Source organism: Homo sapiens, chromosome 11, assembly GCF_000001405.40.
Source record: "Homo sapiens chromosome 11, GRCh38.p14 Primary Assembly".
NCBI classification, from domain to species: Eukaryota; Metazoa; Chordata; class Mammalia; order Primates; family Hominidae; genus Homo; species Homo sapiens.
In genome coordinates, this window is record NC_000011.10 from 114,111,811 (window position 1) to 114,129,392 (window position 17,582).

General features: G+C 45.5%; 1 protein-coding gene across 7 annotated transcripts in view; it reads left to right on the forward strand.

Annotated features, from left to right (window-relative positions):
- The window catches only part of ZBTB16 (zinc finger and BTB domain containing 16), a 197,060-nt gene that overhangs the window by 52,100 nt on the left and 127,378 nt on the right, over positions 1-17,582 (forward strand). The window contains exon 3 of one of the 7 annotated variants that reach the window (XM_047427563.1): positions 10,008-10,086. The exons of the other annotated variants lie outside the window; for them this stretch is intronic. Coding sequence (XP_047283519.1) covers positions 10,008-10,017 — 10 coding nt within the window. The 3' untranslated portion in view covers positions 10,018-10,086. Of the gene's footprint in view, positions 1-10,007; positions 10,087-17,582 lie in introns of those variants that run through there. 7 annotated transcript variants of the gene reach the window in all.

Consider the following 17,582-nt stretch of genomic DNA (forward strand, 5'->3'; position numbering starts at 1 on the left):
CCTAGTTTTTCTGGGTCCACAGATGCCAGAATGCTGAATTTATTTATCTTGAATGTTTTTGTTGGCTACTGTTGAGACACATTCTTCCTCTTCCCCTTTTACCCCAAGTCTGTTTTAAACATTTTTTTTTTGAGGCTTCCAGACGCACTTCAATAAAGAAAGAATTTCTCTCTGGTGTCCATTTGTCAATTTTTTTGTGGGGGATGTATATTGTAAATAATATAATAGATATGTAAAAGGTTGTAAATAAAACCCAAAGGTTATAGAGGAAAAGATGTGTAAATTTGACTACATCAAAAATTTAAAACTTTTTGCATGATTTTCTTTCGGATTTTTGCCTTTTCCTTGCACATTTGTTGGTTCTCTTTCGATATAAATCAGAAAAATGAATCTTTTATCTGTCAAATGCATGGCAAAGATTCTTCCCAGTCTATCATTTGTCCTACAGTTTTGATTATGGTTCCTTTCATCACAGAACATTTCTATTATTTATTTAACTAAAAAATGTCACAATGATGTCTGTAGCGTAGATTTTATAAAGCATCTGATGGTCATATTTTATAATCTAAATTTTGGAAAAGTATTTGGATAATGAGAGATGGAGAAGGTAGAGGGAGAGCAAGGGAGGGATAGAGAGGGCACGAAGATGAGGAAGGGAGGGATGAGGAAGAGGAGAAAGACTGGTGAGAATGAATGATGTTAAAAGATTGATTTTTCTTCCTGTAAAAAAGTTGGCTGTCGTCAAAACACCCCTTCTGTCTAAGGGAAATATTGTCCTTTTGGCATGTACTTGAACCATAAAGATTTCTCTACTTGAGGAGACCTTTCCTAAGAGTTACCTGTCCAGAAGGCAGTCCTACTGTTCTCTCTCATAGCTCTACCCAGTCTTTAAGACCTAGTTGAAATGTAGGCTCCATAAAGCCATTTCTATTTTCACACAGTTCATTTTCTTTTTTTTTTTTTTTTTTTAAGACAGGGTCTCGCACTATCACCCAGGCTGGAGTGCAGTGGCCTGATTATATAGCTCACTGTAGCCTCGACCTTCCAGGCACAAGTGATCCTCCCTCCTCAGTTTCCCAAGTAGCTGTGACTACAGGGAATGCACTACCATACCTAGGTTTTTAAATTTTTTAAAATTTTTTCTTAGAGATGGGATCTCACTGCATTGCCCAGGCTGATCATGACCACCTGGGCGCTCAAGCCATTCTCCCGCTTAGGCCTTCTAAAATGCCGGGATTACATGCATGAGCCGCTGCACCCAGCCCACACACTTCATTTTTATTCTCAAGGTACCTGCTGCTTTCTGGCTTATGGAAGATACATCTCTGCATGTCTAATCTTTCTTAGAGTGTCATGTGATAGCAGAGATGCTGTCTTCTGTCTCACTCGTCTTTGAATTCTATACTGTCTTTAGCGGTGTATAACAACCATTTATAAGTACATAAGTGATTTACCAGACAGGTCAATTCTTATCCATTCTTTCCTCCTATACGTTCTTCTGGGACATTCTTCAAAAGAGATATTTGGGGTCTTGAAGTCCAACACTTCGGGTATTTGGCATAAATTAGGTTGAGGACACTGGTTGGAATTTTGGGAAGAATGAAGGGGAGAGAACCAAGGAAGAAGGAATTCCAGAGCTGGTAGCGTTGATTTCAGAGTATTCTCAATCTAAAAACCCTGTAATCATGACCTATTCCCAAAGGTGAGTTCATGGCAGCTTATTCAACAGATATTTATTGAGTACCTGACAAGTGTTTTGCTTTGAGTGAGGCACTGTAGGGCAAGTAGGAGTAAGTAAAGATCTTTGCCCTTCTGAAGCTGTTCTCCAGTTTGGGATTTAGAAAATTTGTTCAGGAAGAGGGCTTAAAAAATAGAGACATTCTGTAAATGACCTTTCTTTGAAATCCCTTATTCTACTTTGACTACTGCTGTCTATTCCTCTTCCTAAATGAAGCTAGTGGAGGCTTTTTCAAAATCAATTCTATGGAGGTTATTGGGGCAGATATAAGTTAGTCATCTAATCATCCAGTTAGTCCTGAACTGAAACCTGGAATTCATTCTTTTATTTTTATATTCATTTATTCAATTAGTCAACACAAAGTTGCACAATCAATATTAGCTAAATTAGCCAAGTTTAAATCCATGGTAAGGCGAAACTCCCACTTCTTTTCTATTAGAAAGCTGATTTCTTAGTGGCAGTAATGGGTGGTAGGGATAAAAACTCATCCCATGGCTGTCTTAGAACCTTCAGGTGATTCAGTAGAAATAGTGCTGTTTCTATCTCCATGATTTATTTTCGGGAAATAAGTAGAGATACTGGGGTCCAGAATAACTTGATATTCTAGTTGACAATGATTTCTGGAGAACATGTCCCTGAGACTTCGTCCATGTCGGCCACAATGTTGGGGAGCAGTGAATGTCTGTTGAAAGACAGAATAATGGATGAAGTCCAAAGGTAGGAAATTTACAAGCGATGTTACTTTGGGATGACGGGGATGGGAGGGAAACCTGACTGGGGAGGGACCACCGGGCTTCAGTGTATATGAGCAGTTTGCTATCATTTGTTAGACCTTTTGAGCATCTGAAATATTTAAACAGTTTCTTGTTATTCTCCTACTTGGTTGATCTTTATCTTTGCTGCTGAGTTCCAGGCTTAGCTCAATAGAGGGAACAGGGAGATGACTGAAGGCATAGTGTTTGTAAAAAGAGTTTGTTTCAGTTCTTATCAAAAAGTTCTTTCCAGGAACAGAACATACTTTTCATTATATGGGATGGAAATCAGGATGGAAGTAAATATGTTCTCTAGAATGTTCTAGCTCTGAGTTGATTTGCATAGAGGTCCTACAGATCATTCTATGCTATATGTTTTTTCTTTTTTTTTTTTTTTGAGGCAGGGTCTCGCTCTGTCACCCAGGCTAGAGTGCAGTGGTACAATCTTGGCTCACTGCAACCTCTGCCTGCCAGGCTCAAGCGATCCTCCTATGTCAGCCTCCCGAGTAGCTGGGACTGCAAGGTGTGCACTACCATGCCCAGCTAATTTTTGTATATTTTTTGTAGAGACAGGGTTTCGCCATGTTGCCCAGGCTGGTCTCGAACTCCTGAGTTCAAGTGATCCTCCCGCCTCGGCCTCCCAAAGTGCTGGGATTACAGGTGTGAGCCACTGTGCCTGGCCCAGGTCGTTCCATGCTGATGGGCTACAGGGGCACAGAAATAAAGATCTCAGGGCACTCATTATTTTCTTTCTTCCTTTCTTCTTTTGTTAAGAGGGAGGTAGGAGAGGGTTGTGTAAGGATGGAATATTGCTGCAAACCTGTATACTTCTTTAATTTCTCTACCCTCGCCTGAGACACTGGAGCCTTTTACTACCATCTTTGGGAAAGACCTTCTAGAGAAAAGAACCTTTGCTTTTATAGGTGAGCAGGGACGGTGTATGTCCTCCAGCATAGTTTAAAGTGTTTGGTCTGTTGCCTCTCCAGAGATCAAAGGTGAGACAGACTTTTTGTTGGTGTTGTTTTCCTCCCTCCTTCCTCCTTTTTTTTTTTTTTTTTTTTTAAACTCCCTTTCCTTGTTATCTGAACTTCCAAACATCAGCTTTGATGTCTATTGTTGGGACTTCAAGAGGACTCTTAGCACATCGGCAGGTGTTGGTTTTAGTGAGCAGGCGAGAGTCCCACATTCTTCCAAGGAGAGAGATGGGTCCCACCACATTCCTACCCCTAGAGCAGAAGTTCCCGCGCTGTGCCTCTTCTCTGGCTGCTTGCTGAGGACGTCTCCCAGTGGGGTACTGGGTGTACACCAGCTTTCCTTCCCGTCTTTCTGAAGCCTGTCTGAAGGGATCTGTCTTCTTTCAGAGCAGCTGAAGAGAGGTTGTCTAACAGCCACGTATTAAGGTTTCATTAATCAAAGACACTTCCACTGCCCCTTTACAGAAACACAACTGCTGTGGCTGTCCTCCGCTGACGGCCCGCTAATTTGTCTTTCCCAGAGGAGGGGAGGGGAGAAGGACAGAGAGGCAGGCGCTGCCCCTACCCTGCAGTAGGGATCTCCATACTGGCTCCCAGCGAGCATGCGTTCATGTGCTAACTTTAGGGGACTGTGCCCGGGGCTTCACATTTTCGTGCAGAGCCATGGGCAGCTGGCTATACCCCCTCCCCACCCTGTCCATGAAGCAGGGAATCAAAACCACTGGAAGCAATTACTGCAGATAGATAGGTTTAGGTTGTCTTTTATTTGCAAGAAAATTTTCATTTCAAGCTTCAAGGTTTTCACTCCCAGCTTCAAGGTTTGCTGAAATTGGGGGCAGAAAGCTCTAGAAGAAATAAGAATATGGGTACATGTGTTTAAGTATGCTTAATGGACAGCCTCGGCGAAGTGAGGGGTGATGGGGACATTAATAGCTGGGGAGCCACTGACCTGAAATGGTACAGTCTTCCTGTAGTTACTGACGGATGAAATCATGACTTTATGAAATTTTAATCCTTGGGTATAGAGGCACAACTGACTTTATTACTGGACCCCAGGTGTGTGTGTCTGAAATGAGTGTTTTGAATCTAACTGCATATTTGATTACTTTCTAAAATTTAGGCGTTGCTGAACTTCTCCTCATGCTTAGGTTGGAATCTGACCTTCTGTAACCCTCAGCTCAGAAGATGGATATTTGGGCATTTGAAAACCTCTCAGGGCCTCCTAAGTAGGTGATTGAGCATTGCGTCATTGCATCGTCATCTTCTTTTTTTAAAGCTAGGTCCTGTCCACTGGGGAGCAGCTTTGAACTCACTTTATTCAACTCATCAAATATTTACTGAATACCTACTAGATGTGTTTGGCTCTGTTGGAGAAGTAATGGTGAGGCGTAATGCGTTCCTAGCTCTTAATTTGGGGTTAGAACTAGTACACACATGGCTGTAATGAAAGATAGAATAAAACATGTTCCCTAAGACAATTGGTAAATGCAGTGAAAGCTCCAAGCGGGGAATGATCACATCTGACTTATTTATTCAATGAGTGTTTATTGAGTCCTACTGTATACCAGACAATGGAGATACAGAAGTCCAGAAACTTGACCCTCGTCCCCAAGAATCTAATAAGCTGGTAGGGGAGGCAGACACTGAGACATAGCAGCACTTTATAGTAGAATACAAGTGGTAATAAAATGTAGAACAAAGTGTAGAGGAAATGGAGGTGAAGCAGCAATTGACTAGGTTTTGGGAGGGGCTATAGATAAGGCTTTGCTGAGAAGGTGACTTGTAAGCAAGATCTTAAAAGATGAGAGGAAGATCACTGGTTAGACCAGAGGGAAAGGCATTCCAGGTAGAGGTAACAGCACACGCAAAGGCCGGGGGAAGGAGGGAGAGAGAGCTGCAGGCCATTTGGTTTCACCAGAGCTTGAGATGTATAAAGAGGTTGGTAGAGATAGTAGCTGGAGGTATGGTTGTGAGCCTATCATGAAGTCTTGCTTGTGCAGCAGAGAGAGAAGCCGACCTTTTATTCTGTAATTTGGGAGAAGGTGTTGAAAGGTTTTAATCCCGGGAGTGAAATAATAGGAATTATGACTTGGAGCACCCCGAGCACAGCATTGGGGATGGATATGTGGGAGTCAGAGGAACCACCTAGGAGCCCGTCAAGTGGTCTAGGTGAGAGAGAACAAGCAGAGGTAGGGAAGTAGCAAAGGAGGTGGAGAGGGAAGGGCACATTGTAGGGGGAAATGAACAGGTCATGTTGATTGGGGGTGAAGTTTGAGGAAGGAGTTGGTTGAGACTCCTGAGGTTTTGGCTTGGATAACTGGTGGATGGTGGGAATAGAGAAGGAGTTCTGGGTGGAAAACCAAAGTCTCTCTTTTGGACATGGAGTTTGAGGAGGTCTTGGAAAAACTATATAGAGGTAGTCTGCAATATTTGCAGTGGGTCTTGAAGGAAAGATATTTTGATAAGCAGAAGTTGTCAGTATACTAATTCATTTGCATTCATTGAGTTCTGATGATATTTTAGCATGAACAAGAATGAGAAGTATCTTAATTTCCTGGCAGAAAACAGTATTTTTGGAGTCCCTTGAATAATGTAAAGTGTTTTCATCAAAGACCTTCATTCATGTGTGTGCTGACATCTGGAGAGCAGAGATAGATATTTTCCTTAGGTCTGGGTTCGTGAGCTATAAACTCTTCCCTTGCTCCTAATTAATCCTTTGTAGTTACTGACTGACGAAATCATGACTCTGTGAAATTTTAATCCTTGGGTGTAGAGGCACAACTGACTTAATCACAGGACCCCAGGTGTGTGTGTCTGAAATGAGTGTTTTGAATCTAACTGCATATTTGATTACTTTCTAAAATCCACAGGGTCTAGAGAAAACAGATTAGAGGTGTTTTTGATTTTTGTTGCTGTTGTTGAGACAGAGGCTCGCTCTGTTGCCCAGGCTGGAGTGCAGTGGTGCGATCCTGGCTCACCGCAACCTCCACCTCCTGGGTTCAAGTTATTCTCCTGCCTCAGCCTCCCAAGTAGCTGGGACTATAGGCACCTGACACCACACCCAGCAAATTTTTGTATTTTTAGTAGAGACAGGGTTTTACCATGTTGGCCAGACTGGTCTCAAACTCCTGGCCTCAAGTGATCTGCTTGCCTCACCTCCCAAAGTTCTGGGATTACAGGTGTGAGCCACCGTGCCTGGCCCAGGCTAGAGTTTTGGGAAGGATTTGTTTATTTATTTATCTGTTTATCTATTTATTTGTTGGGCAGTCTTGGAAAGGATTTATTTAATTTATTTACCTATCTATCAGTCATCATGAGTAATTCTCAAATATCTATTATGGAATCTTAGCACTTGGGGATCACACAATTTGTTATCTTTCCTGAGGACACTTAGGCCTGGGGAGATGAAGTGACTGGAACCAGGGCTTTCTGCTTCATATTGCATTTCTACTCTCACCCCTAGGAGAACAGGTAAAAGATAATTTGTGTTGAGTGAGGGGTTATGAAGAGACAAATGTTTTTAATAAAAGGAGGGTTGCGTCTCTGTGATGAGACAGAGTGTTCTGGCTTTCATGGTTTTCCCTGTCTGAAAGTAACAAGCTCTAGATTACAACAGTGAGGAATGGAGGATGCACAGATGGCTCAGACAGTGACTTGGAGTTCAGGTTGACATTTCAGGTTGACTTTTGTTACAAAGAATTTAGAGGGGGCCAGGTGCGGTGGCTCACACCTGTAATCCCAGCACTTTGGGAGGCTGAGGCAGGCGGATCACCTGAGGTCAGGAGTTTGAGACCAGCCTGGTCAACATGGTGAAACCATGTCTCTACTAAAAATACAAAAAATTAGCTGGATGTGGTGGTGGGTGCCTTAGTCCCAGATACCTGAGAGGCTGAGGCAGGAGAATCGCTTGAACCTGAGAGGCAGAGGTTGCAGTGAGCCGAAACCACACCACTCCGCTCCAGCCCGGGTGAGAGAGTGAAACTCTGTCTCAAAAAAAAAAAAAAAAAAAAAAAAAAAAGAATTTAGGGGGCGTTGTTAGGGGGTATTGTATACGAGTTTGTGTGTGTGTGTGCGCGCGTGTGTGTGTGTGTTTGTGTCTGTGTGTGTGTGCACATGTGTGTACAGGTTCACTCTCTACCACTGCTTTCCCCTTTGCTGACCTGGACTGGCCTGCTGGATTTCCCACCAGGAGCTCTCTAATGCAGTGTCGACTGCTATTCTCAATGAGGCCCAGCACTGTCCTGGTGAAACTGGAAAGAGAAAGTACGACAGGTGCTGTGTTTTTTGTATGGGGGTTGTAGGATCAGAGAAGTTTAGAGTTGGTGGGACACTCAAGGATGGATAGAAAACTTCTGTTTGGGTCTCTGCAGTGATGGAGCAATGTGGATTTTAACAACCAGAGTAGCAGCTCTCATCTCATGAGCACCTGTATCGTGTCAGTCTCTGAGTTAGGTTCTTTAAAAGACAGAGTTTTGTTAATCCTCACAATTTTGTGGTATTGTTAAATCAGAGTACAGATGATAAATGGAAGCTCAGAGTGGTTAAGCGCTTTACCTGGTGTCACACAGCTAGCAAGCGGTGGAGCGAGGATCTTGACTAATACTGCAGCTTTTCCCACTTCCATGGCACGCTGCCTCCTTCTAGCATTCAGTGAGGAAAGCTCTCACCGCTGGGAGTTGTTCACTCTAGACTGAGCGCCTTTCTTAGAGAAGGGATTTCTTGGAGAAAGATTGCAGAGTCTTCTCTAATGATTACAAGAAGGACAGAGTCCTGGTGGACACAGTTGGAGGGTCTTGTCTGGAGGCAGTGGAATGAGCCAGGTGGCCTCTTGGAGCTTTTTCAGGAGGGAAATCTGTAAGGGAGAGGAGATGGGACTCTACCTTCGATCACTTGGAAGGCGGTTGGCTGAGGCCAGAGAGTATCTTTCCATACCTTCCCAGGAGCCACCCCAAACTCCTCAGGCCTTTGTTTCTGAGGTTCTCTCAGAACCACTCCAGGCAGAGCCCACAACACATCCTGATGTTATGGGATGAATGGGGACATGGGGCAGGGCAGCAGCCTGGAAGCAAGTGAGGTTAAAGACCGCCTTAGCGAGTTTTCCCTTCCACCAGACTTCCCCTGGCTCCCCCTGGCTTTGTTCATCTTGAACTCCCTTCACCTCTTCTACTGTTTCATCCCTTTCCTTCAGTCCACCCTGGATCTCATCCTTTAAAGCCGAATCCTCTTTCCTGAAGAGGAAAGAAGGAAATCCTGACTCCTTAGATCACTATCGTGTGAGATGAAAGTTGCTCTTCTAATTTGTCCCATTTTCTTCAACTCTTCTTCCCCTCTGTCCCTGCTCCACACTCACCACTGGCAACCACTGAGTCTGAGACCCTCCCGCACACTTTCTCTGCGTGTCTTCGGATGCTGTATTTACTTAAGCTGAATACAGGGTCTAAAGGGTGGCAGTGTCACATTAGGGCCCATCGAGGGAGCAGAGGGCCTTTGTCAGAGTCTGCAGGTTGTGGGGATGGTGACTGGCCTGGAGTCGGGGTGAAGCAATGGGAACTGTAGAAGAAAGGGGAAGGAGAGCAGGGCAGCGTGGATGCTGGACCTGTCTCCTCTTCAGCCTTTTGGACTCTGTGTTCCCTCTCCTGGGAAGCCATACAGCCTTGGCCGCTTCAAGATGGTGCCTCCTTGGGCAGCACCTACTCTGGAGTCGGTCTGCATAGTTAAATGGTTGGAAAAAAGACTGGAGAGCCAATCAGGGATGCTCACTTGCAGTTCGTGTGAATCCTGCCTGACCCACGTTTAGAGACACCATAGAATTGTATAGAACCTTAGGTATCAAACTGGGTTTTTCAGATCCCACTTTCCTGGTGAGAATATTCTTCTGTTGATGTGCTAGGAAATGTTTAATCCAGGTGAGAAACACCAGACTGGTAGTGTTTGCGATTTCTGTGGTGTAGATACTCCCACCATGGCTAATTCCAAGCTGCTGGTGTGGTCACTGAAGGCGGAGTTGAGAAAAGGTGTACACAGTGGTGCAAGCCAGCTCCAGGGCACCGTGGCTTCTGAACGCAAGTGTGGAAGCGCTAGGAGTCCTAGTTGCTAGGCTCTAGAGTGGAAGTTGAATCCTTGGTGGGGCTGCCAGTAAGGTGGGGAGGTCATTTTCTCACCAAATCAAAACACAAAACCCTGGCTGTGTCGTCTTTCTTATTCTCATGCCTGGTTCTTGATTGTGGCTAGCACCATGGCTATTTCAGGATCCCACTCATACTGCTGCCATTGGTTGAATGCTTACATCCATTATCTCATTTAGTCATGACAGTAATCCCATGACATAGGGACTGGTATTATCTCCATTTTGCAGGTGAGGAAACTGAGGCACAGAGTGGGTCAGTAATTTGCACAGGGTTCTACAGCCTTTGAGTGGTAGAACTGGAATTTGAAATCATGACTGTCTGATCCCAGATCCCAAATCCTTGCCCAGTATATTATACTCGCAGTTTTGTAGCTTTTCACAGACATTTCCAAATTCTGAGTCTACTCTCAATGCAGGGTCTTCTAGCATAACCTTTGTTCCTGTTGGCAACACTTCATTTTGGACTGTCAAGATGCATTTCCTGAGATGTGAGATGTCATGACCCTGTGTTTGGTAAGTTTGGCTGCAAGGTACTGGCTGTCCTCTAAGACACTTCCTGAGTCCCAAGTCCACAGATTTTACTGAGGACTGAAATGGCTGCATTCTTCATAGACACTGAGTTTGCCTGTTCCAAAAATGGTGATTTCTATAGCAACCATTTATTCTAGCAGATGTGTGCCTGGTATGGTTGGCAGAGAGGGTGGGACCAAAAATGGAAACGGCCTTTTATTCTTCACTTCCTGAATGCACGCCCTGTATGTGAGGCATATAGGAGGAAAAACATGGCATCCTTAGAATCTGTAATAGATCTATGGCTCAGGAAAGAAATACGTGTTGCTTCAGACTGCTTTTTATCTGGAGCTTGAGTTGGGCTGTGTTTGGTTTGTGGCGTGTTCTTTGGCAGATGTACCTGTTGGTTTCAATTCAATGGATGTTTGTCATTTGGTCTCTGCAGAATATGCACATTTACTGTGGGGGTAGGTGGCTAATAAACAGAGAGAAGACACTGGCTTGGCTCTTAAAGATCACGACGTCTATGTAAATGTGTATTACATAGGGCTTTTTTTGGTGGAAAGTAAAATAACCAATTTATGCCAGCCTAAGTTAAACAAGAGGATTTAATATCATAATAAAGGAAGGTTTTATGGAGCCCAGGGACAGGAGCATGGCCCCATCTTTGAAAGGCAAGTGAGCGGAACTAAGAATGAACTGTTAGAAACTTAGGTGGAATTCTCTCTCTCTTTCTCATGCTTGTTTAGTCTTTGCACGTATTTCCATTTTCACCTCTCTGCAGACCACAGAGTCGAAAAATGACCACCCCAGGACTCCCAGGCTTACATGTGACCAGGCTTGATTCAGCTTTCCCTGTGTGTATCCCAAATTCTAGAAAGAGACACAGTCTGTCTGATGCAGCTTGGATAGTTATCCACTCTTGGCCAATCACTCACCGAAGGCTTTGTGGTGAGTGTTATTTATCTAAGTCTGCTCAGGCTGTCATAACAAGATACTACAGACTGGGTGGCTCAAACAACAGAAATTTATTTCTCACAGTTCTGGAGGCTGGAAAATCCAAGATTAAAGTGGTAGCAGATTTGGTGTCTGGGGAGGGCTCTTTTTCTAGCTTGTTGATGGCCTCCTTCTCGCCGAGTCCTCCCAGGGTGGAGAAAGAGACAGTGAGCTGGTGTCTCTTCTTACAAGGACACTATTCTGTCAGATCAGAGACCCACCCTTAGGACCGCATTTAACCTTAATTACTTCCTTACGGGTTCTGTCTCCAAATAACAGTCACATTCGAGATCAGCGCTTCAACATATTAATTGTAGAGGGGCACAATTCAGTCCATAGTAGTCATGTAGGATAACATGGCTGCTGGGATCCACTCTTGGGCCTTGGGAATAGAATGGATCTCATTGGCTCCCCCAGAAGGAGACCAGTGCAGATGAAAAGGCTGAATACCCTGCCAAGACAATGTCCTGTGCCAGATTAGAATCTAAACCTCATTGTCGAACTCAAACACATTGCACTTGGGGTGAATAGTCCTGCTGTGCGTGTGTGTATCCATATACGAGATGTGTGCATATATACACATATGTACAGGCATATATATACATATATGTATGTATGCACATGTCTGTCTGTGTGTATGTAATTAGAGAGGACTTTCTGGAAAAGGAATGTTTGAGGGTGGCCTTGGGTTCCTGTTGGCTGTGAACACACTCCTAATGAGCTGCCCTGTGTCTCAGTTTACACATGGTATTTGAAATTGAGTCTAAATTCCCATTTCTTGTACTTTCTGAGGAGCAGTCAAGAAAGAGCCAGATTTACAGTTTGCCAGTCTCTTAGCTCTATGTTCCAAAGGAATTAAGTCACTCTTCTTGACAGTGGCCTTAAAATAGGGTTTTAATAAAATGAAAAGAGGAGCAGTGGAGCCACCCACCCCTGTCACCTGTGGCTAAATGGATATACGGGCGCCAGGCTGCTACGGGAGCCTTTTGTGGTGTCACCTCCAGTGCCAGTGGGATACGTGCCGCAACAGAGACCAGATGATGAATATATTTTTAAACTTGGAACCCATGAACCACTTATTATTTCTGAATTAGGAATCAAAACATATGAATAATTTCAACAGGGTTTCAGCAGATGTATTCTGCTTTTAAGGTCACTCTGCTTTGCGGAGATGGTCGGGGGTAATGGGGAGTGAAGTCCAGCCTGATTCTCTTTGTGACTCTTAGGACATCTGTGTCATGTTTGCTCAATTTAGCAGTCACCGTAAGTGTGATGCGAGGCCCTCATTGCGGGGTCAGGGTAACTTATGGAAGCAAACAGCCTTCTTTATTTTTTAATACATCACTGTCACCTGCGCTTATGCCAGGGGTTATTAGAAGAAGAGGGGCTCTGGGTGGCCATGTGTTCATGGCTATGATGACTGAAAAGGCCACAGCATGCAACAGAGTCCTCAGATTTACCCCCAAATGCTTCTCCCACCCTCTATTCTCTCTTAGCATCTCTCCCTGAACCTCTTTCGCCAACCCCCTACCAAACAAGGTCCAGAATTGAGGTGTTCTGGAATTCCAGCCTTGCTAAGCTCTGGGATTAAGGCCAGTCATTTGGAAAGGGGATGGGGGAAGAGGCAAAAACAAAACAAAAAAAAAAACCAAAAAAAAAAAAAAACAAAAACAAAACAAAAAAAACCAACTGAACATTAACCCTTTGGGTCCATAGCACTGAGAAGACCTCACCATTTCGGCCACTGGCAAATCAGCATCTCTTGGCCATATCCCTGAAACCTGAGCTTCATGTACCAGAAGGAGACAGTTAAGCCAAGTCAGGCTGATGAAAATCTCTCCGTTCTAATGACTGTGCAGGGTACACCTGTTCCAGCCTCTCACTTGCTCTCATTGTCAGTTGGACGCAGGTATTGAATGACCACTGAGTGTGGAGTGCAGCACGAGGGTGCTGTGGAGGAGGAGAGTTCATGAGCAAGAAGAGAAGCAGTCTCTTGACCTCAGGAAGCTTGCACTGTGTTTGGGGAGGCATGGTCATGCTCACTCTCTTGCTCTCCCAGCACAAAGGGAGTGGGCTAAAGGGTGGGAGGGAGGCAGATAGTTACTGGGCCTGACCCTCTTCTCGGGGTCAGCCACAGATCCCAGATCCTTTACCTTCCTCATCTGCCTGTTTTCCTTTATAGTTCTATTGGAGTTAAAAAAAAAATGACAGCAGTGTCAGTAACACACACTCATTTTAACAAGAGAGGCAGTACAAAGATATCTATAAAGAATTAACAGTATTCCTTATTTGCTCTCCATTTCAGCTCTCCTCTAGGGAAATGAATGTGCTTTATTTTTATGAAATAATTTCAAGCTTACAGAAAAGTTTCAAGAATAATACAGAGAGCACCCATATCACCTTACCCATTTGGAGTTTACTGATTTTTAATAGTTTGCCCCACTGGTTTCCTTCCTGATCTATGTAACCGTAGAGCAGCCTTTTGAGGTAGGAGACAGGTGGTATTATCTTTTTGTGTGTTAGAGGTGAGAAAGCTGTGGCCCATGGAGTTGAGGAGTGTGCCCAAGGTTATCTAACTATCCGACAACAGGTTTCCCACACAAATTCCACATGATGTCATTCTTGTTTTCATTTTTGTCTTTCCTTGTAGGACTTTTTTTTTTTTCATCGAGCCTGCAGAAGGGGCCTGTCTTGCCTTCACAAGGAGGAGATGGTTGCAGGAAAGTAGGAGGTGAAAGGTGTCCTCCAAGTCTCCTCCCCCAGATCAGTCGGACCTCCTGGCCTCCTTTGGTTTTCCCTCTAGGGCAGAAGCGGTGCTGGCTGGAGGGGGTCCAGGTGCTGTTTGTTGCAGGAGCGCCATCTTGCTTTAGACCTTTTTCGTTTCAGACAGCTAGAGGAGGTCTTTTACGGTCCTACTTGACCCCCATAAAGGAAGTTCACTCCACAATACGCATCTCTTTTCACATGAAGAGGCAACAGAGGGAACAAAAGGAGCAAAGCAGCCTTCTCCTGAAGAGGTGAAAATATCACTGCCTTTTGGAGCCAGATCTGGGTTTGCACACTCCAACTCTTGGAGTGATGTGTCCTTATTTGTAAAAGGAGAGTTCTGGAGTACATTGGGAAGCAAGTCATCAGTCATATCCACAGCCTCCTGCTCCTGTTAAATGTGTCCTCCTAGATGGAAAGGTTGGAACAAGCTGTGCCCCATAGGTTCTGCCATTTTTAGGATCTTTCTGGCACTGAGACTTTTGCTTCTGTGATCTCTCATTGGAATCCATTTCTTTTGCCCAGGCGTGGATAATGCTTTTGTCTAATGCCAGCTCTGCCCCATCTGGTCTTAAAACGAGGTGAATCTGCTGCTCTGTATTGAAATATGTGATCTAGAAGGAGCCATAAAATAGGAACCTTAATAACTCTTTCTCTCTGTTTCATTATCCATGCAGTTTTCCTGGCAGCTGTCCATTCCGGCCTCATTCCCACCTCTGGGACATGTCAAGTTATTGAGGTGGTACTGGCTGTGGGTGACTATAGATCTGGGCCAGCCTGTTCAACTGGGTCTTCTGGGGTTGGTCCTGGGTAGAGCTGGGTGGATGTAGTCTAAAACAGAGAAGGTAGTGAGGCCCTTCACATCCATTTTAAGGAAGCTGAGTATTGTTGTTGAGAGTGGCCCTGGCATTGTCTTCATCAAGAATGGGGTTAGGGATCCGGCTGCAGTGACACTGGTGAGGTGAGAGGTTGAAGGGATGGTCAGACATTACTGTCTCTTGAGCGAGGTTCTGAAAGTCTATTCCTTGGAGACTTTCACAAACTGGAGGGAGACCCTGTGTGTCCTTGGCTGAAACTAGAGGCCCAGGTCACATGACCTTGGGAGAGAAGCCACTCATGGCCTGAGGACCCAGTGAGCTCCTTGACCTACGAGGGGCCATCCTGATTTCTCCACTTCCCAGTCAACTCTAGAATGGAGTCTCTGCCTGACGAAATTGTGGTTATTTTGAAATCAGCTTGTCATGTTCCTTGATTGTTTTGGGTGTAATAGTCTCTTCTCCGCAGCAGGTTGTAAGCATCTTGAAGGCCAGGACCTTGTCCTTTCTTCTTTCATTGGAGCAGAGGTTAGGGAATGCTGGCTTCTGGACCCAGCCTTGGACCCCAGGGTTAGCACTCCCTGGCTCTTGCAGTTCCCCCTTGCCCCCCAACTCCACTATTCCCCTGGATCACAGAGCTTGGTGACAGCAGTGTAGCCCCTTCATCTCAGCGTGATGGTGGGAGGGGGTCGTATGCATTTTCAAAGCCTTTCCTGTGTGATGTGCCCTCCTGGTGCAGCTTCTCTCATGAGAATCCCCAGCCTAGACGTCTCTTCTCTTCCATTGCAGATCAAGGGTTCTCAAAGTGACCTGCTGAGCCACGTGCATTGGACTCCCATGGTGTGCGTGTGAAAATTCCTCAGCCCACACGGATGGGCCAGAATCAGAATTCCTGGAGTGGGAGCAGAACTCTGTATTAAATAAGCCCCCTCAGATAATTCCAATGTACACTAAAGTTAGAGAACCACTGTAATGGTCTGATGTCCCTCACACTCCCCACCCCAGTACACACACACACATGCATGCATACACACATACACACTCTGTTAAATGGCTGCTTCTGCTGTTGCTAAGAATACTTTGCTTTTCAGGTGCTTGTGGATGGGTAGGAGGCAGTGCCTGATTTTGAGCTCTTGACTAGGAATTGCGTCAATAGTTAGAGGAGGGAAGGATCAGAAAGGGGACCTCAGAATGGGGTTATTTAGGGGCTGGGGAGTCAGAAGAACTCAGAAAGGGGCCTACTGCATTGCTGGTGAAGCCTGAATCTTCCATCCACTGTTAGCACATGGCTATGCAGACTCTGATTCCCATCTGATGCCATATGTGCTTCCTCCACAGTCCGGGAGAGGAGCTTTGGGTCATGTGATTAGCCTTTTGCCCTGGACAGCGCACCTAAGCTCAGCACATGTCTTGGGATGGAGCTGCAGAATCTTGGTGCCGTCTCCCCCTTGGAAGGCTAGAGTCTTGGCACTGAGAGGAAGTCCTTCCTCCATCCCCAGCCTCCTGACTCCATTGCTAGCGACTCCCAGCAAGTTAAGAAAGATTCAGTGGGAAGGGTATAGGGCTGGGAGTTGTCTGGATCTAAGCCTTTCTTGCTCAGTTTGATAGACTTTGGAAAATCTCTGTCTCTCTGGGAACTCAGTCTCGTCTGGTCCCTGGCTTTAGCACAGTGTGTCCACCATTGCAGCCATGGGCGAGAAGCCACTAGAGCTATGTCTCTTCCTTAGGAGAGCCTGGGGGGGATCCCAAGGTGTTGGTGGTTTGGAAGGGCAGTGACCCTGCATGACCAGGATCCATTTGCCCAGGCACCTGCTCTCTGCCAGCCTGAACACCCGGGAGCACCTCCCGGATACGACAGCCACCCACTACTTCTGCATGGCCGTGGCCACATGGGCACAGTGGGGTGAAGTGAAGATCTCAGACTCTGGAGTCAGACAGTCTGGGGTTTGAATCCGAGCTCCAACACTTCTAGCTGTAGGATCTTAGGCAAATTGCTTAAACATCTGACCTTTAGTTTTTTTCACCTGCGAAATGGCGGGTAAAAACTGCGACTAGCTCCTAGGGTGTGTTATGGGATGCAGTGAGGTGAAGCCAATAAAACCCTTATTAGCACCTGGCACACAGTAAGCACTTCATGAGGGTTAGCTGTGCTTGTTGTTCCTGGGTGTGTTTGGAGGAGACTTGTAATCTTGTAAAGTGAAGTTCAGGTCCTCAGAGACAAGTGGTGTCTGGCTGTGGGTTCTGGCCATTGAAGGCCTGGGTGGTTTAGAAGGGTTTTAAGTTAGTGCCTTCCCTAGAGGTGGGCACACGTCTGTCACCTGCCCCTGATGTGCTATTTATCCTGCCAAGCCCTGGGGCACTGAAGCAGCCCAGAGGCGGCTACTGCAAACACCAGGGAGAGATAGAGTCTCCAAGACCCCAAATAGAGTTTGCAGGACCTCTTGAGCTCTGGAGCAAGAAGGAAAGGGACAGAGACAGGCCCCAGTGTCAGTGGCGGGTTGGGAGGGAGCAGAGCACAGCTCCCCATGTGCGTTCAGGTGCCCAGAATCTGTTTGGCCACTTTCATCTGGGTCTGCGTGGGTGGGGGCGTGTGGTAGCCCAGAACCCACTTGGCACCAGGTACAATTTTGTCTTCAGCTCCAGTGGCTACTTTTCTCTCCTTTGCTTCACTTTGAAAATAGTCAGCAAAATCCTTATTTCCATAAGCATTTTTCTGGCTGTAAAAAGCTGAATCCCAAACCTGTTATTATAGCTGTTCATGCTATTTTAATCTGCTCTGTTTAGAGGTGAGAGGGTAGCAGTGACTCTGCAATTACTGAGTACATTTGATCCGTGGCGCAGCCACCGGAGCCGGCAGAGAACCCTTGGAGTAGGATGGTGTCGTGTGTGGCAAATCACTTTCAA